This window comes from Homo sapiens, chromosome 1 (genome assembly GCF_000001405.40).
Source record: "Homo sapiens chromosome 1, GRCh38.p14 Primary Assembly".
Taxonomy (NCBI): Eukaryota; Metazoa; Chordata; class Mammalia; order Primates; family Hominidae; genus Homo; species Homo sapiens.
In genome coordinates this window covers 232,428,405-232,448,124 of record NC_000001.11, presented here as the reverse complement: position 1 = coordinate 232,448,124, position 19,720 = coordinate 232,428,405, and the positions used below count along the sequence as shown (strand labels likewise).

Below are 19,720 nucleotides of genomic sequence, written 5' to 3'. Positions count from 1 at the left end.
TAATCGCTTGAGCACATGGGAAAGCTGTCTAGCCTGTGACCTTTTAGGGAGCTGTGATGCCAGTTTAAGAGAGCAACTATGGTAACTAAAAGCCACACCTGACTTTCACATGATGGACACTCAGGTTTTCCCTGAATTGTGACAGCTTTTACTAATTGTGCTTTTCACTTCTCTCAGACTCAATAAAAAAGTGATTTGTAACTCTGATTCCTGATTATATTAATATAACTATAGTTTAAAATATCTGTTCAGCTTATATAAATGAAGTATTTTTAATCTGTTAAAGCTTATTTATCACCCATGTTCAATGCTCTTGATTCCACATATGCATATTAGTTAAAGGTTCGATCAGTTCTGTCCTAGAAGTTTGCTAATTAGCTGGAAAGACAGAATTTGTATATCACATGCCTAACAGCAATATCCATCAACTAGCCAGAACCAAAACCATGAATATTGGATCATACTGATCCATCCTGGTTGTAAATAGACAAGGCCCCCATAGCCAAGAATGGGGCTACTGCATGCACTTGCATGGCTTGTGTCAGAAAGGTGCCTTCCTTCAGTGGTGAGGGACCACTGAAGTTCAGCCATTCTCTGTCGGGGCATCTGTGCAGAGCACACACCTTTTTTAAATTGTACCATGGCTTGCCATCCTTTGCACTGTGCAGCACAGTCAGCAAATCTTATGGAGAAGGCAAGATTTAAGTTGAGATGTGGGTCAGACTGGGAGATACGATTGCCAGGAGGCGGGGCTGGAGCAGATCAGCCAGCTGGGGGTAGATAGACAACATGCAGAGAGCTGTGGCAGGCCAGGTTCCTCTACAGGGGGCTGTCCAATAGAAAGATTTTATCTGGATTTTCCAGTAGCCATATTAAAAGGAGTAAAAAGAAACAGGTGAAATTATTTTTAGTAATATATTTTAACTTTATATCTCCAAAATACTATCATCTCAACATCTAAAAAATGTTAAATGATTATTAATGAGATAGTTTACATTATTTTTTGTATTATGTCTTTGAAATTTGGAGTACATTTCACACTGACAGCATATCTCAAATCAGATGCTAAATTTTATCCTGAGTACTTGCTGTTTATATTTCGTAAAATGTAAAGTTGAAAACATAGATTCATATACCCAAGTTATTCTAAACACTTAAAAAATGAATCAGAGTATCAGTTTTTAAAGTCAAATTAATGAAAATGAAATCACTGTGTTCCTCCAAACACAAGTCCATTTCAGGTGCTCAGAGGACTCTGGGTGGCTCTGTGAGCCACCTCTGGCGTCTGCTCTGTGGGCAATGTGACTATGGAGGGACTGGGGCAAGCCAGTGCTAGGCACATGGTGTGCCTGAAAGGCATTAAGGAGACATTGAAGTTTTCAGGAAGATAAATCTCATACAAAGTTTGTAATAAGGAGGAACTACAGACAGAGAAAGAGAGAGAAACCTTAGAATCCACCAACTCCCATATGTTGAACACAGACATGGCCTAGTTCTTTTGGTCACTAAGACTGGTTATGCTGCATTTAACCAAACACTTTCTTGAAGAATAAAATATCAGACAAAAGGAAGCTTTTCTCTTTCTATTTAGTATGATTTTTTCTACAAGTTTATTGAGGTGTTGATGCATAATGAACTGCATGTATACAAAGCATACATTTTGATGAGTTTTGGCCCATGTGTGAAATAGTCACCACAAACAAGATAATGGACATTTCCATCATCCCTAAAAATGACGAATATTTGCTTAGAGGGTCTTATTTCTACGGTCCCTGGGAGTGGATGTGAGGACCAGAGGCCCAGTCTTGGTCCTGCTGAGTAACTGTGAACAAGGTGTTTAATGTCTCTGGACTTTAGATTTCTAATTACCGGAGATAGTACTTGTTATCTCCAGAAATATATTTAAAATATTTAACCTACAAGTCCTGGAGGCCTCTGCTGTGCCAGGTGTTAATTTTTTTTAGCTGTGTATTGGGGGTCTTGGAACAGCTGCTTCTTACGCATTGGTAGTTGGAACATTTTAATAACCATACGGCTGTATTAGCAGGTACCAGCATAGATGATGTGTGTGGCTGCACGGCAGCCAGGAAAAAAGCCACAAACCGCCTTTCTCATTTCTAGACGCAGTCATTGCTGGCAGAAGAGGAATTGAATAGTGTGGGAATGTGGTTTTATTATAGGTGAGATGCTCCTAAGGGTGGATCGCTCTGCATCATTGACTTGGAGCCGGGAGAGGCACACACCATGTGATGTGTGTTGAGGGGCCCAGCTGTGAGTAAGCCATGCTGACAGCTCAGCTGAGAGCTTCCCTTCTCACCATTTCTTCTTGGCCCAACAGAGGGTGTTCAGAGCTCTGCCGGATCCCTATGGTGGAATATAAACTCGACAGCGAGGGCACCCCCTGCGAGTATAAAACCCCCTTCAGGAGGAACACCACGTGGCACCGGGTGCCCACTCCTGCCCTGCAGCCCCTCTCTAGAGCTTCCCCCATCCCCGGCACGCCCGACCGGCTGCCGTGCCAACAGCTGCTCCAGCAGGCCCAGGCTGCCATTCCTCGAAGCACCTCCTTCGACCGGAAGCTGCCCGATGGCACGAGGTAATGCTGGTTCCGTTTCCTCAAGGGGGGCCCTTGTAAATCACTGGGGTGAGAACTTGACATTGTAGGGAGGGTTTTGCTTAATCACTTCTGAGTTAGCTTGTTCACAGCAAGTTGGCAAGCAGGGTAGCAAGGCAGGCCCCAGACACAGTGGTGCCTGGGGTCGGGCACTCTCCTGGCCCCAAGATGGTGCTGGTAAAATGCAGGTTCTGCCCACCAGGGTCACAGCTTTTCCTCTTCATCCAGTATCCTTCCTCCATGTCCACTGGCTCTCTTCCCCAAGATGGGAAAGGCACCCCAGAAACTATTCTGCTGGAGCCTCTAGAAAAGTGTGAACAGGTTTGAGCATAAATAAAACTGAACAATCAGTGCTTAAATATCATCATAATGTGAGTAATACTTTAAGAGGTTCCAAGCTCATTAAGACTTCCTCTTTGCTTTTCTCCTTTTAAGCAAAGTGAGTTGAGTTTAAAATTATTTTTTCAAAGAAGAATGCATACACTTGTTTAAAAGTTAAATCCAGTACCATTGGAAGCTGGTGAGGGTTTTCAGATGCCTAATTTGCATAGATCATTTTAACAAAACAAAATAATAAATTTCTTATTGTTGTTAATTCGTACTCCTTTTATTCTAACTTTTATGTAACATGTAGGCACGGTAATGCCATGAGTTTTCTCAATTATGACTTGTCAGGCTCTGGTCTGATAGACCACGGACTGGGAGCCAGGCTGGAATCACAGCTCTTAACTTACTTGATGTACTGTAACCATAGGCCTGGTACTCATCCTCTCTGAACCTCCAGTTTCTTCATCTGACAAACCACATCAGGAAATTTTGAGGACTGAGTGGGTCAATGTATGTAAAATGCTTGGAACTGGGCCTGGCACTTAGTCAGCTTATATAAATATTAACCAGAATTAATTGATAAGCTTATATAAATATTAACCAGAATTAATTGATAAAACCTGTGGTCATCCTCTCCCTTCTCCAATTTTTATTCTTTCCAGAGTGAATGCAGGAGAGGTGTTAATTTAACATTCAATCATCTTGGCTCTGGGTCTCCCAACTCAAAAGTCGGCTAAGTTTATAACTTTCCCATATTCAAAGAAATGTACATAGATAGCCCTGGTAAAAGGGGCAACATGTAGAAGGAAGGGGATCTGCAGAACCTCCCTTATTTAAGTAAATTTAAATAATCATAACTTAAGTAAATTGTATTAAATTAAAATTTACTTAAGTAATTCTAATTTAAGTAAATTATAGGAGAAAACCAGAAGTATTCTAGTAGCAAAAGGGAAACTTGGCAAGCACATCTTCATCAAGTGAGTTTTCATGAGTATTTTTCATTTTTGCATGTCTGAAAAAAAGATAAAATAGGATTACATTCAAGAGATGTGTGAAAATAAATGGTTTTGCCAAATTTAGGTTTTTCTTTTTGCATAAGTTTTAAGTATAGAACTAAAACGTGACTTGTTTTAAATTTCACATAATAAGAATTAGTAATGTTTTCATAATTCTGTATTCTCGGAAATTGTATTGCTGTTCTTCTGTATTTCTCTGGGAGGGAGTCATTATCTGTGCTTTAAATCTTTAGACAGTGAGGGCCTGTCCTGTCATACCTCTTTCCTAGGACAAATTGCCAATCATAAACCACTGATATCCCTGGGCATCACCGATACTTAGTTTATTTTTCCATGATTTATTCTGTTTCACATGGCAATATGTTTTTCTTCCTTTTCTTTGTCATTCTCAAAGTATATTTATTTGTGAAACAAAACAGGCCAGGTCAAGGGGCTTGGCAGATAGTTCAGTGCCCTGTTAATGATTCTACTCAACCTTTCAGAAGCTCACCCAGCAACCAGTCATCCTCCAGCGACCCTGGACCCGGCGGGAGCGGACCCTGGAGACCACAAGTGGGCTACGACGGGTACTGTTCATTTTTATCTTAGTTATCCACTGGGAGGAACCTGTTTTCTGTGACTCATTGAAAAGCATTTACTGTGTGCCTTCTGTACCTGGGGCCATGTGGGGAATATAATAATGCCAGACATGCTTTTAACAAGTGACTTGTCCAGGTTGGAAAGCTCATTATTTCTGTGTAAGTAGTGCTCACTTGTCGATGTTCTCAGCCTGTTTTTTCCTTTTTGATGAGGAAAGGTTTTCAGAACATGAAAATTAAGGATGTGAGGGCTTAGTTGCCTCCTGACTTAAATTGCTGATGAGGAAACGCCGCTCAAAATCAGAGAAGTGGGTTTAGCGTTTGGCTTTTTTGCTTCCTGTCTGAGAAGTACTGGGAGGTTGCCCCAGCACACCTAGCTGAGAGCTGCCCTTTATAGTATCCACGCAGTCCAGTCCGCAGTAGCCAGCAGCTCAGGCAGAGCCTGAGGACTTCTGTGAACAAAGACACTGAGTTGACCAATCCCACCACCTCTGGGAAGAGAAGAGGGAGCATGGCACCAGGGTGCGCTCCTGAGGAGTGGTCTGCTGGGGCCACTGTGACTTGGTGCTGCTTTGGGTTGGAGTTAGGAGCTAGTCACACTGATTGAGAGGAGAGAATGGCCGGTCAGTGGGAAGGACTCCACTCTGAGGAGCAGCTTATATCACTGCTCCCGCAGGTGCACTGGGAAATTTCTCTCCATATGTAGTCTGAGTTATATGTTTTCCTTCCCTTAGATGATAGACAGAGTTCTTAAAAATTGTATGTCAAGCAACTTTCTAAATTAAATTGCATTTTAAGCCAAGAGAGGATTTTTTGATGTTGGCTTTTTTGGTGTTCTTTTTTGTATAAACAGTAAAACCTTTTCTGGCTTTTTCTGTAAACCAAGGTCTTCAACCAGAATTCTGTAAATAAGGATCACTTTGTAATGTCAATAAGTTTTCTTCTACTTATTTCTATCATATTTGGGGTTTTCATAAAACAAAGTCTACTTGGATGTAGTCTAGAGTTAATCTTTTTTTTCCTTTTTTTTTTTTTTTCTTTTGAGATGGAGTCTCGGTCTGTCGCCCAGGCTGGAGTGCAATGGCATGATCTTGGCTCACTGCAACCTCTGCCTCCCGGGTTCAAGCAGTTCTCCTGCCTCAGCCTCCTGGGTAGCTGGGATTACAGGCGCTCGCCACCACGCCTGGCTAATTTTTGTATTTTTAGTAGAGACGAGGTTTCACCATGTTGGCCAGGCTGGTCTCCAACTCCTGACCTAGTGATCTGCTCGCCTTGACCTCCCAAAGTGCTGGGATTACAGGCAGGAGCCACCGTGCCCGGCCCTTTTTTTTTTTCTTAAGAAAAATTTAATATAAAGAGATGTCAGTGCCATGTATTCTAAGCGTAACGTAAAAATGCGACCTCCTCCGTAGCTTGCAGGTACATTGTTTGATCCTGGACAGTCCTTCAACCTCCTGGTGTCAGCAGCCCTTCTTTATCTGTAAATGGCTATCATCCGGCTGCTTTTTCTGACCCTCTGGTTAAACCAGATCCCACAATTTCAGATGCTTTTAGCTTCTCTGGCGGGGCTGAGCTGACAATTTGCATTTTCATTTGCCAGAAAACCAGCTCCTGGATAGGGCTTTCCCTCGCATAGCCTACTTGGAAGCCAGCACTCCCGTGTGCATGCTGGCAGGTGGCACGGTTGAGAAAGGACAGGCTCAACTCTGTGTTCTTTTCAGGTGCCAGTCCCCTCTACTGCTCGAACACCAGGGCTCAGGCCCTTTGGAATGTGACGGAGCCAGGGAGAGGGAAGACACCATGGAAGCAAGCAGGCACCCGGGTAATAAGGAACTCCTGGAAATTGACCTCCCTTGCTCCCCCTTTCCCCCTCTCTGCCCCCTCCTCTCCCATCACTTCATTTTATTCATTCACTCATTCAACCTATGTGCACCAAGTTGAGGTGATCAGCTGGGTCTCCAGATGCAGGAGGGGGTGTGGTCATGGTTGGTTGTGGTTGTGGCACCTGCAGAAAGTGAACACTTTATGGTGGTGGTTCTGTATACTTTTGTGACATATCCATTGGTAAGACCAGAAAGTCCCAGAACCACAAGCCTGTTCATGTTTACCAAACCACTTGTCTGACTCCTGGTTTTCTTTACTCTTTTGGTAATACTGGAAATTGGAAATTCAACTCCTCTCTTTTTATGTGACAGAAACCAAATGGCATGGCCCACCTTCCAAAGTCCTGGGTTCCTATAAAGAAAGAGCTCTGCAGAAAGATGGAAGTTGCAAAGATTCCCCCAATAAGCTTTCTCACGTAAGTCCTTTGTTCATAAGCCCTTCACTGGCCTAGCCAGGACTGATCTGTCTCAGCACACAGTGGTACAGCCTGATTCCTGGGGATGCTCAAGAGCACATTACCTCACAGGGCTCTTAGAGGTGAGGTTAAAAAAGGAAACTATCTTCCTGATTTATAAAGGACCTCAAAGAAAGGTTGCACAGCAAATTAGTGGCAAAGCCAAAATTATATCCTCAGCCTTTTGATCCTCAATATCCAGTGCAGTAGTTACTAAATCATGTTCCCATTTGTAATCTGTTAACCACTTATCCATTTAGTGGCACAAAACAGAAGCAGAAACTGCTAATCGGTGTGTGTGGTCAGAGGAACTCTGCCCATAGGTAGCCATTTACTGTACAGTCATCGATGATTTAATCATCACGGCCGCAGCTGCCCATTACACATGTCAGGGTAGAGCACCGCCCACGTGGTAGTTCTCAGTCCTTTGCATGTGTTGCCATGTGTACCCCTTGAAGAAACCCTGGGAGGTGAGCCTCGAGGGAGACTGTAGCCCAGTGAAACAAAACTTCCATTGAAATGCAGAAACAGGAATTGTTGGTTATTACAAATAAAGCCAACATTTTAAAGTGGCTTATTTTTGAAAATGTTCAGGTGAAGATAATTTATAAGGTCCTGAATTAAGTTATGTCTTTCTTCTTTCTTAATGTGTCATCAGCCAGCTTTGCAGTTGTCCCTTAGCAAACACATGTGACATTTCTTCCCTCAGCTGTGACCGCGACCTTGTCTTGAGTCAGCCTCACCGTATCTATTTAAATCCACCTTTACAATATTCTCATATTGGTTTCAGCAAAGGGATACATGGTGTGGGCGTAGTTTTGAGAATATCAGTGTATGATGAAAAGGTCAAGGTGATTTGCTTAAGGATCTGATAGGCTGGAATAAAAAAAGATAAGGCCAAACCACTTTAAAATCTACTGGGGCCTGGCTCGTTCTTATGATTCCAAAGCCCTTTGCTGATGCTTCAGATCTTGTTGCTTTTCCCAGACTGTGAAGAGAGGCCGTGTCTGTATGAGTACATTGTAGAGACAGGGACATTTCTTCTATTCTATTTGCTTTTTGTCTTCCAGAGACTCCCCACCCCAACCAAAAGCATTGACTCTTTTTCAGACCTATTTACTCTCAATAGACTCCCATTTCTTAAAGGCTTGGGACGCACTTTGACTGGGGCTGTCTCAGAGAGATACTTCGTGTTTACCGTGTACTTTGCAGCAGCCAAGTGGTTCTGCATATATTATCTCATTTGCTTCACACAGGAATCATGTAAGCTCGGTATTACAAGCACAGAGAGGGTTAAGTGATTAACCAGAAAGTCCTACCTTTGTGACTGGAACCTAAGTCTTCTGCCCTGAACTCAAGGCTGGCACTATAATTTGTCATGAAGCATTTTCTTAATAAGTGGCCCTTCTCTTCCTTATATTAATTTCCCATGTTCCTTCCCAGTTTATATCACCTTTGCTTATTATTTTCTTTGCTAGTGACACTGTGGCCATAGTTTTGTGCTTAATGCACAAATAATTAAAGACTTAAAGATACCCATTTAACTTAGATAAATTATGGGAAGAAGTATGAATTAGAGACTTCTGCACAAAACCAGGTTGTTTTTGAAAAAGGAAGTCCTGTCATTGCCCACATTGAAGAGTGAGTAGAAAGGGCTTGGGTGCGATCCCATGGCTTGTAGCTCCCTGAGTCAGGGTGAGAAGCACCTGAGTTCAAGATTCACTTGAGAACTCTCTGTTCCTCTTTCTTCTGAAGATTGGGGATAAAAGTTGCTCCAGTCACTCCAGCAGCAACACGCTCTCCAGCAACACCTCCAGCAACAGTGACGACAAGCACTTTGGGTCTGGCGACCTGATGGACCCCGAATTACTGGGGCTGACCTACATCAAAGGGGCCTCCACCGACAGTGGCATCGACACGGCCCCCTGCATGCCTGCCACCATCCTCGGCCCTGTGCACCTGGCAGGCAGCAGGTCCCTGATCCACAGCCGGGCCGAGCAGTGGGCTGATGCTGCCGACGTCTCTGGGCCTGACGACGAGCCAGCCAAGTTATATTCTGTGCATGGCTACGCGTCCACCATCTCCGCCGGCAGTGCTGCGGAAGGCAGCATGGGCGATCTCAGTGAGATATCCTCTCATTCCAGGTAAGCCCCACAGCACTGCAGAGTAGTACCTGCTGGTGCCACCTGGGCCCTGCCTGCTGGGATAGGGCAGAAGCCTGAACTGTAAGCAGTAGGGGCATCAGGTAGGTTGGTGTAATTTTTCCTAGCTGTCTGACATCAGAGGAAGGGCTTGTTTCTACAATATGAAAATGTCAAAGCTTGCATGTTAACAAGTCCCTTGTTGGTGTTTTTTTTTTTTTCCTATTAAGTTTGAGTGAAAAGTCAATAGAGATATTAATCGCTCTAGTCAGGCCACTTATGTCTCTCTCCTAATTCAACCTGTTGTCCCTACGTGTTTTGGAGAAGAGGTGGCACTCACTAATCTTCAGACCATAGTAGTAGGAAGCCATGAAGGCAGCATGTGCGTAGAGCACATGTAGCTCCCTGCCGTGAGGGCATGCACACACTTCCTCCCTGTTCCTACGGCCCTGACAGCAGGGGAGGCCTGAGATCATGTGTATAACAATGAAAGTGTGTTCAGCTCTGCAGCTGGGGTTCATTCAGTAAAGACTAGCTAAGTGTAAAGGAACTGGATTCTAAGTACTGTAAGTGTAGATGTTTAATATCTCCTTATGAGTGGTTTTAAACTCCTGTTTGACATACTTCTCTGCAGTGGTTTTAAAATACCTAATTTGCGATTTCTGCCTTCACTTTCAAAGACTAGGCAAAGGACAAAGAAATGCATTTATTCAGTTTGGCTGTGGACAGAATTTAACTATTTATAGCAACTACCACTGTCATTTTTCTGCTTGTTTCCAAGGCCTTCCCTGATTCAGCTCCAAGTTACTCTCTGACTCCTGCCCACAATGCTGGAGGGCAGAGTCAGATGAACTAAGAATGGGAATATTTCTTGCAGGTACCTAGTGCTATGAGGGAGCATTTCTCCAAATGATGGTGCTCAAGGCAGACCTGTAGCAGTCACGGTGAAAGGCTTTTTATGTTCCTCAGGCTCCCCTTCAAAGTCCCCCCTCACCCCACCACTGCCAGGGGATACTGAGTGTCATTCAGGGACCTTTACATTACAAGTTAAAGAAACTCCATGCTGATTGGTTCATGCCACCAGGGTCATATTGGGGCTTATGTAAACAACAAGTCTAGCACTTCAAGGTTCTGCTTGACCCAGCGTCTCAAAATGATACTGCCCAGGACCAGGTTGCCTCCATCTTCCCACTCCACATGACCATTTCCCAAAATCTCAGCATTCTTCTCTTGGCTGAAAACAGCTGTGCCACCTGCAGACCTCCCACAGTCACGCTCGTCTGTCCCCGGGTAGAAAGTGGTTTTTTTCTAGTTTCTGCAGAAGAAACAGGTTTCTGCCCTCTCCAAAGCCAACCCCTGCCCCCACACCACCCCCGTATCTCCTCACATGTTCCTAGCTCTAATCACGTGGTTAGGGGGTAGCATCGTCTACGGCACTTGGGGCCCTCAGCCTGGGCTGGGGGTCAGTCCCTGTCACCAAGCTGTGCAGCTGAGGAATGGCAAATACAGCCACTGCCCCAGAAGAGAAGCAGGACATTATTTGACCTGGAGAAGGGGGAGTGGATGCCAGAGAGTAGAAATCATGTGTGTCCACCATGCAGAGGGAGCTTAGGATATGAAGATTATTTTCAAAATAGACATTCCTACTACTTTTTTTACCAGTTCTATTTAATAATTTGACTTAAAATAGGTTTAGTACTAATAACTAATATAATAATTAAGGATTATCAGTGAATTTGGTCATCTGAATTATTCCTGGCTTAATTTCAGGAATAGTGGTCATACTGTGGAGACCATCTCGGGATTGCACAACCTGCTAACATCTAGTTCAAAGTTGAGATGATTTGTAAAAGAGCTGATTTCATGACACCTTTTTGGACAGATGTCATTGGCATCACAAATAGAGTTTTGTATTATTATTATTAAGTAAAATTTCTATGGAGACTGCCTTCAGAGTACATTCGTTTATTGATATTTGGTAGGGCTTTTTACCGGTATTTGTAATGGATTTTCATGACTACCTTAACCATTGGCAAATTTAATGGGCTAGACTATTAGAAAGTATATGACAGTGCTAGATTGGATTTCTGATTGATTTTACTTTCTTCCGCCACTCTAAATTGGATGTGGCCCAGCTGTTGTATAAGTGATAGATGTTGAGTGAGTGGAATCTTTTACCACTTGACTGCCCTTTTCCTGTAATTCTTCGTTGATGGTGGCTTTTGAAGCCACATTTCAACTTGCATCCTAGGCTTTTGCTCAGCATGGAATTCAGTCATTGAATGAAATCTTTTTAACACTTCCTCTTGCGTGCCCCCCGAGCTGCACAGGAGGCGAGGAGGAGGGATGGGATTTACAGCATTTGCCTTGTTTTCTGTGTGTTGAGTGAAAGGCAGGTGACTCATTAGAGGACGAGGGACCAACCTATCAAGCCACACAAAGATTCTGCAAACTCTGAAATGCCAACCCCAGCTGGGGCATGGGTGGCCATGAGGAAGGCTCCCTTAGCCCCCCTGCTTTCCTCTCCTGTCCCAGTTCAGGCAGCCTTGCAGTCCCCTCAAGCCGAGGCCTACTGCTGGAGGGCTTGGGTTGTGACTGGGAGTAGCCCAGGTAACAGAAGAGCAGAATAAACTTTCAGGAACTGACCGGGGTGACCATCCTGCCTAAACCCACACTTCTGCCTCCAAGTGCTCCGTGCCCCTGACCCGTGTGTTATTTTCTTCACAGCACCCACCCCTAAATAAAATTGTTTGTGTTTACTGCATATTCCTTCCCACAAGAAGGCCACTTATCGCCACCTTCTCCTCACTGGAGCATTCGTGTTTTGAGCTGATAGGGTCGTGGCCTATCTTGTTCGCTTGTATCCACAACACTTAGTACGCTTCTGTGCACATGGCAGGCATCTGAATATTTTTTGAATAAAGAAAGGAACTAGGAAAAGTGCTTGATAAATGCTTATTGATGGAGTTAATAAACCAGTGCCTGGGTAACCTAGGGAAGCAGGAGGAATGTGGGATCCACCATTCCCAGTTCACAGTGTCAGGAGCCCCAATCAGTATATGGTGTACTCTTAATTCTTTAACTCTGGGTTTTCACAACCGACACCATAGCAGCCTCCTCCAGCCCCAGGCACACACACGCACATTCCTTGGCAGCCACCCGGGAGTTAAATAAGTACAGAATTGTGTATATGGCATGATTCCAAGATTGTACTAAGGAGGCAAAGGGAGGACTTACAACTCTTCAAGACAAGTTACACTCTTGTGAGGAAGAGGGTAGGGGAACAGGAATCATCTATTAAGCAGAACAAGCATATATCTAGCCTGCTTTCTCCTGCTGTTCAGTTCTTTTAATTTAGCAAACACATTTTTTTTCTTTCTTCGAGGGCAGGGCATTTAGATAGGAGCTCAGAATACCAAGCAGTATTTATGCTAACCTAACTAAGGCTTTGCAAAATGAAATAAATCAACTGCAAAAACAAACCCCATGTTCTGGATTCTCCTGTAAATGGCACACACGACGTTGGGCTGTTTATCATTATTCATGCCACCGTACCTTTCTCCTGGTACAAATGACTGGACGTCAGCAGTATAACTCCGAAAGAAGAGCATTAGTCCAGAAGGAAAGAATTCATGAAAAGTTTGTGGACAACATTCTAGAATGTTATCAGCATCAGAGAACACTTCTGTAATGATACGACTGCTACTAAACAAGGAATTATGCCACATTGCTCATCAAATGGATTCTGTACATTTGTTCTTCAAGTTAACTTTAAAACATCTTACAGTTGGGATAAAATACATTTCTAATGAAATCTAATTTTTAGAAAATGTTATAAAACAAATGGAAAAATACATAGAGTTTGTGATCACGCTATCATTACCTATACATTTTCAAAACTATACGCTTTGGTCATTTTAAGGGGGAAAGGTGAGTAACCTACACACATGCAGCTTATTAACTAGACCATGACTTTGAGTGCCCCAGCCTTTAACAACGAAACATCTCGGGGATCATCCAAGGCTTTAAAATACATGAGACACACGGGTAGTGGAAGGCAGTGCACAGTCCTTCATCAGGTTCTTGATGGGGAAACTAAGGCCATAAGCCTTATTGGGACAATGGGGAAACTAGCATGTGGACTGTTAGATAACAGTATTGCATTAATGCCTGATGTCCTGTACATGATCATCACTTGGTTAACTACTGGGGGGATGTCCTTATTCTTGGGAAATGAATGCTGAAATATAGGAGTATGATGATGTCTTTAGGCTTGCAGCTAATTATCAGATGGTTCAGAGAGGAATTAGTGGATCTTGAAAAAGGGTATGTGGATGTTTATGCTACTATCCTTTCCCTTTTCTGTAGCTCTGAAATTTTTCAAAATACACTTGGGAAAATAACATACAGGGCGTCAGAGCTCGTTGTCTAGACACACAGTTTTCATGTTAGGGCTCCCTAACTGGCGTGCACCCCAGTGAATGGGAAGAGTCCATTAGCTCCTATTATTCATGCCTGTTGATTGCTTGCCTTACTCCTCAGGTCACCTTGGTCATGTTGCTTTACTGTTCTCCCGACCTGGTGTTCCATGTGTGTGGATGTCATTGTAGAGGCAGTGCAGCGTCTTCCCGAGACCCACAGTTAGCACCCAGAGAGAGGGAGCCATCAGTCATACTCAAGGGCACCAGACCAGCCACCAGCAACTAAGTTTCTTCATAGGAGTAGATGAGGCGCTTTGTTTGTTGGTTGGTTAATTTTACTTAATACCGCAGTGTTTTCCAAAACGCAGAGACCCTGAAAATGGGTCCGTTTATTTTGTGTCTTTATTTCCTCTTGAACCTCTACAAAAAGTTCATTTTAATATCACTCTTATTTTTATACTTTATTCGTCTTTTATGAGACTTGCTTTATACATGTATCAGAAAAGGTCTGTGCTCACCTGGGGTTTCAGAATAAGATTATATTTACAGCATACTGGAGGAGCTTGCTACCGCGGGAACCCTGTGTTAAACTCTTTCAATAGAAAGGACTCCTACTCGTGAATAATCCTTTGCTGGGTCACTTTCTGTAACTACGTTTATATAATGCTTACCCTATGCTACTCACTGTTCTAAGTGCTTCACTAATATTAACTCAGATTATCTTCAGAGAAACCTTCGGAGGTAGATACTGTTATTATCCTCAATTTACAGATGAGAAAACTGAGGTTAAGAAACTTGCCCAGGGTCTGGCAGTGGTAATGGACAGAGCTGATGTTGAGACCCGGAATCCTCGCATTGCACTCACGTGTCAAGTTTGCTGAAAGTGAAGCCCACCTGCCTTTCTGAACGCTGAGATTAGACCTATAATTTAAACTCTTAAAATTTTTCATATTTATAAAGTAACTTTTGTTTTTCATAAAACATATTGTTGATCTTTCTAATTTAAGAAAAAGATATTTCTGGTGGTGGTTAACTGTCCACTTAATTTCTCAGTCAGCCGGGGGTGGGTAGTCCTTCTGGCCTTAGCTTAATTACTAACCTTGAAAATTTTTATTGTTTTTAGGGCCTCTGTCTGTTTCAGTATTGTTGCTGTTGTATCATATGATAATGCAGCAAACACCCCTGTAACTACCACCAGGTTAAGGACTAGAACATTGCTGTGTCTGGAAGCTCTCTGCATCCTACCCAATTACAACCCCTTCTCTTCTCCCTTGAGGTAGCCACTAACCTGGCTTTTGTGATAATCATCCCCTCATTTTCTTTACATTTTCCTGAATGACATGTTGTTTACTTTTACCTGTTTATGAACTTTATTAAGCAACTGGCTCATGATCATTGTATTCTTTGTGACTTGCTTCTTCTCTACATTGTTCATGAGATCGCCCAAGTCGTCTGTAGCCTCAGTCCATTCATTCGTAGAGTATTCCGTGTATTCATTCATAGTTATTAATCGAATATCCTTCTACTATTGATGATTTGGGTTGCTGCCATTGGGGAGTTCTTAAAATCAGTGCTTCTAATCAACATTGTTCCATGTTGACAGTTGCACGTGCAGCAGGGGTTTGCTGTGTGTGTGCGCCCTTGGAGTGGGATTGCTGTATCGTAAGCTCTGCAGGTGCACACACCTTCATAGGTAATGCTCAAACTGTTTCATGCACTTTTTACTCCCACCAGCAGTAGGAAGGTACCTATTGCCCCAGTTCTTACTAACACTGGGTCACTGGGTATTGTCAGGCATTCCCATTTTTGCCTGTCTGGTGAGTATGTAATGCTATTCCATTGTGGTTTGCATTGGCATTTCCCTGGAGACAACTGAGTTTGAGCACCTTCTCCGACAAATATATTCACCATTTGAGTTTGTTCTCTTTTGAAGAATCAGTTTAGGAATGTTGCCCATTTTTCTATCAGATTTCCCCGGCCATGTTTTTAACATCCTTCCTGCCACAGGCATACAACTTGCACGTGAGTAACCTTAGCCTACGTAAAATGAGGCTTCCTAGCAAGCTCCATGGTAGAAAGAAGGCTCCATCTGCCTCACTGGGCCCGATTTTGCTCTCGGAGAAAGACTTGAGTAAAGCCTTGTGGCTCTGAATTTGGCCGTGTGCCAGCACTGCTGAAATCAGATTGTATTGCAGCTTTTGTCTGTTTTTCTCCTCAGTGGTTCTCACCATTCAGGAAGCCCTTCAGCTCACTGTTCAAAAAGTAGTGGGTCTCTGGATTCATCCAAAGTCTACATCGTGTCTCACAGCAGCGGACAACAGGTTCCCGGGTCCATGTCCAAGCCCTACCACAGACAAGGGGCAGTGAACAAATATGTCATCGGCTGGAAGAAATCGGAGGGCAGCCCACCGCCCGAGGAGCCTGAAGTGACTGAATGTCCCGGGTAAGGTGGCTGGCTGTTCTTCTCTGGTCAGCATTTTTCACTGTAGGGATTGACTAAGCAAATGTATTTTCCTCCCAAAGGAAATGTATTTTCTAAAAAAGAATAATCTAAAAACATCTTTCTTAAACTCTTTAAATGTTGATGTTTATATTTCCCTATAAAATTATTCTCTTGATTTTTACATAAAAAAAGGAAAAGAAATCTGTGTTCTTTGCTTTTATATTCAAATCTGCCTGCAATAGAAAAGTCATGGTAACATGCTGCTGATGGTGTGAGTATAGCGTCTCTATAAATACACCAGGTCAAAGGCAGTTCAAATTCCCACAGAGTCCTGTGTGTTCCTTAAAGTTGCCGTGTAAGTGACATCCTAAAACAAAAAGTATTTTTCTTAATTTTAGCATGACTTCCAATTTTCCTTTTAGTTGTTAGGTTTGAGGTTGAGGGGGGCGTGGTGGGCACGTAGGAAAGGATGCTTTGTATCTGTTTGAAAAAGAAAAAGATTTAAAAATACTGATAACCCATCTTACAACACTTGTGAAAACTATGCTGATGCCTCTGTGAAGAGACAGGTAAATAAATTGCATTCAAGAATGCAGAGCAAGGCTGGCTGGGGCTAAGGAACTATTTGCTTATTTCGTAAAGAAGCTTAACAGAATACTCGTGCTAAATGATCAGGTCTGTGTGCTCTGCTGTACCTGCCTGCGATAGCGTCATCAGGCGTGTGGTGCTGAGCGTGGCTTGCACCCACACTGGGATGGCTCTTCAGAGAGAGCCTCCAGATTTTACACTTTGCCAGTGAACTAGTATCACTTTTTTCTCTTAAAAAAAATGATCCTGTGTCTTAAATACAGCTCATATGATATTGCCTTCTAAATTAAAAATTCTTTTAGTGCTTAAATTGAACATGGAATCTTTTGTTAAAAAAATCATGTCAGTCATTGCAAATGGCTTATTTAGGAAGGAATTTCATAGTGATAACTAGCCCTTTTTATTATAAATGAAAATGGTAGAATGATACATTGGTATTTCTGTCTAATAAGAGTCTTCTGAGTGCTTCACGGGAATTCATTCCAAGCCTTTTTTAAGTTCTGTGAAATATTTTTAGAAGCATTTTATATGTCGCCGTAGTACTATGTTTAGGCGAAGGACTCTTTTGGAAAGTCAGGGAAGTGTGAAAGGAGCCCATTCGGACAGTTTTAATGCAAAAGCCCAGGGTTTATGCATTTCCACGCACTGGTTTGATGGCACTAATGCTCAGTGAGAGCGAGGCAGTGTCCAGAATGAGGTGAGAAAGGGGTTTGTGTCTCTTGAGTCGCAGGTTGTGTGCACACTAGAGGAGACTGAGATTGTGTCTCCGCTGGAGCTCCCCACCTGGGGACCCCTGTGGTATGGAAGGGCAAATGGCAGTCCCCACACATGCTCTTGGGTATACCTGGGAGGGGAGAGGCTGTAGAAGTTCTTCTGTCCTAAGCTGCATTTTATCGGGAGGATTTGAGCTCAAACTGGTTATCGCAAGAGGCCGGTGCTGGGATTCGAGACCAGGGCTCCTGGTCAGTGTGCCGGCTCATCCTGGCAGATGGAGCAGGTGCCCCAGGCTCTGCCCAGCAACACAGAGTGTTTCTAAGGCAAGGCAGTCATACAGGACTGCACTAACTAGATTTGAAGTTTTATCAAAACAGTGTTTTACCGGATTGCTGAAAGATATGCTTAGAAAACAGTCAGCCAAGTACATCATATTTTTAGTGTCTCATTGTGCACTGAAGAAGAAATCAGTTGTGCTCTCCAGAAGTTTCACATAGACCAGTTATTTCTCAAAATCATATTGTGGAAGCCCTACTGTTAATTTTGTTAATAATATCATCTTACATTTTTAAATAATATCAGCGAATGAGCAGTTCTGTCTCAGGCTTCTGTGCACCCATTCATGCTGTTCCCTCTGCCTAAATGTCCTTTGTGAGTTTCTGAGCCTGGCCAGCACCCTCCCAAAGGGGATTGTTCTCTGCACCCGCTAGCTCAGTACTTCCTACAGTGTCTTCGCACTTGATTGGTCATCTCAGCCTGCAGAACATATACCACATACATACCACATGCACACACCCCCGGACTGGAGGTCCTGTGCAAGCCCCCTGTCCTGCTTAACTTCACTACTCACGGTGGCAGGCACAGAGTAAATCCTCAGAGCGTATTTATGACACGTCATTGGATAATTTCTTTAAATTACTAGTTTAGCAGAGAAAGCTAGTGTTTTTTTATAAACACATATTTTAACACATATTCTATAAACGTATATAGAAACTAGAACAGCACATTGTAATCGTAATTATGGATGTAATATTTTTATCCATGCAGTTATTGGTAGGACCTGGGATTTTTCCCCGCATCTTTCCCAAAACACATACGGCCTGGAGCTCTTGAGCACCACCTAACTCACCTCAGGATCGAATGTTGGGCGCTTCTTGGATGCAGTCTTCGTAAAAACTATATTGTTTTGTTTTCCTTATGTGGCTTTTGTGCAAAAGCCCTCCAGCGTCTTGGTTTCTTCTTGTAGCTCCCATTTTTATGTCATGCCATCCCACAAACCAACTAAATCTTCAGTAATGTTTTAAAAGTTATGAAATGCTTCTTTTTTTTTTTTTTTACAGCCACTATTTGTTCATGTTGTAACTGTAGCTTGTGCTTCAAGAACTGAGAGGTACAGGGAAACCTGTCCTACCTCAGGAATAAAGCCATAGAGGATTTTAGAGAAATCCTTCTTAATTTTGAGCATGTTTGTGTATGTTTCTTATTCTAGCAATTTCCCAGTGAGCTGTCATACAGTTATAAGATAGCCTGGCTTTTGAAATCAAGAGTCATCTCAGAGGCACACAGCAATAACATTCAGGTCATTCTCCAGCTCGTTGCTGTGGGCTGTGAATTCCTAGAGTGTTATGTTTCAGGTTGTGTGGCAAAGACTGTTTGCCTCCACTGACAGTGCAGCCGCTGACTGTTTACTGTGTCTTCAGGAATATTTGGTTGCTCAGACTGTATTTTCAGAGTAAACCTTTTTAGAATGATTCCCCAGTTTTGTCCCTGTAAAGGAGCTAAAAACAGTAATTCAGCTTGACACTCCTTTGTTGTCTGTCAATACATTTTTATATACTGATAATTAAGGGAGACGGCTGCTTTATCCAAACAGCTTTGTGAAATTGCTGATAATAAAACATGCTTAGCACACGTGTGAATTGATGACTCGTAAACCCCGGGCTCCCTCGGGTGGCTTCCTCTCTGTTGCCTGGGTGCCATCGGGGCTCTGGTTGTCCAGCCGCGAGAGCACACAAGCGTTGCTTCGAAAGACATATGATCATCTCTGATGAATTATTGAAACTGTGTTTTCTGACACAGATTAGGAAAGGGAAAACACAGCCGTATTTTAAAAGTTGGCTGTGTAATTTTTTCATCCTGGGCTTTGGGGATCTGATTTGTGTCTGAATTATTCAGACATCTAACTTTGTAGTTGAGCTCATTTCACAAATGTGAAATGGCATGGGAATTTGGAGCAAACGCAGCAAAAGTGAACTGACTTAAGACCTAAGAAGTGTTTGTATGCGTTTGTGGCTGTTGAAACTGCTTCCTAGGTTTTAATTCTTACCACTACAGGCACTTTACAAATAGGCTTAATTTCCATTCTGATTGTTTTCAACAGGATGTATAGTGAGATGGATGTCATGTCCACAGCAACTCAGCATCAGACAGTGGTGGGAGATGCTGTTGCAGAGACTCAACATGTTCTGTCTAAAGAAGATTTTCTGAAATTGATGCTTCCTGACAGCCCCTTAGTGGAGGAGGGGCGAAGAAAGGTTAGT

The 19,720-nt window shown here is 43.0% G+C and overlaps 1 protein-coding gene across 11 annotated transcripts in view, besides 2 other annotated features; it reads left to right on the top strand.

The window, feature by feature from the left end:
• SIPA1L2 (signal induced proliferation associated 1 like 2) overlaps window positions 1–19,720 on the top strand; it is a 232,532-nt gene that overhangs the window by 182,372 nt on the left and 30,440 nt on the right. For all 11 annotated transcript variants that reach the window (NM_001377488.1, XM_017001896.2, XM_047426142.1 and 8 more), the window contains 7 exons: window positions 2,339–2,596; window positions 4,440–4,523; window positions 6,257–6,357; window positions 6,731–6,834; window positions 8,629–9,017; window positions 15,654–15,878; window positions 19,561–19,714. In NM_001377488.1, coding sequence (NP_001364417.1) covers window positions 2,339–2,596; window positions 4,440–4,523; window positions 6,257–6,357; window positions 6,731–6,834; window positions 8,629–9,017; window positions 15,654–15,878; window positions 19,561–19,714 — 1,315 coding nt within the window. The remainder of the gene's footprint in view (window positions 1–2,338; window positions 2,597–4,439; window positions 4,524–6,256; window positions 6,358–6,730; window positions 6,835–8,628; window positions 9,018–15,653; window positions 15,879–19,560; window positions 19,715–19,720) is intronic.
• Window positions 11,818–11,987: an enhancer, noted in NCBI's record as "experimental_6114 CRE fragment used in MPRA reporter constructs". NCBI's record gives its function as "activates a minimal promoter by MPRAs in K562 erythroleukemia cells, with activity observed for both the introgressed and non-introgressed 1:232571969 or rs12035376 variant alleles {active_cell/tissue: K562}" and the evidence as "EXISTENCE:reporter gene assay evidence [ECO:0000049][PMID:34662402]".
• Window position 11,902: a transcriptional cis regulatory region, noted in NCBI's record as "Neanderthal adaptively introgressed variant 1:232571969 (GRCh37/hg19 assembly coordinates) or rs12035376 in the experimental_6114 CRE". NCBI's record gives its function as "modulates activity of the experimental_6114 enhancer by MPRAs in K562 erythroleukemia cells {active_cell/tissue: K562}" and the evidence as "EXISTENCE:reporter gene assay evidence [ECO:0000049][PMID:34662402]".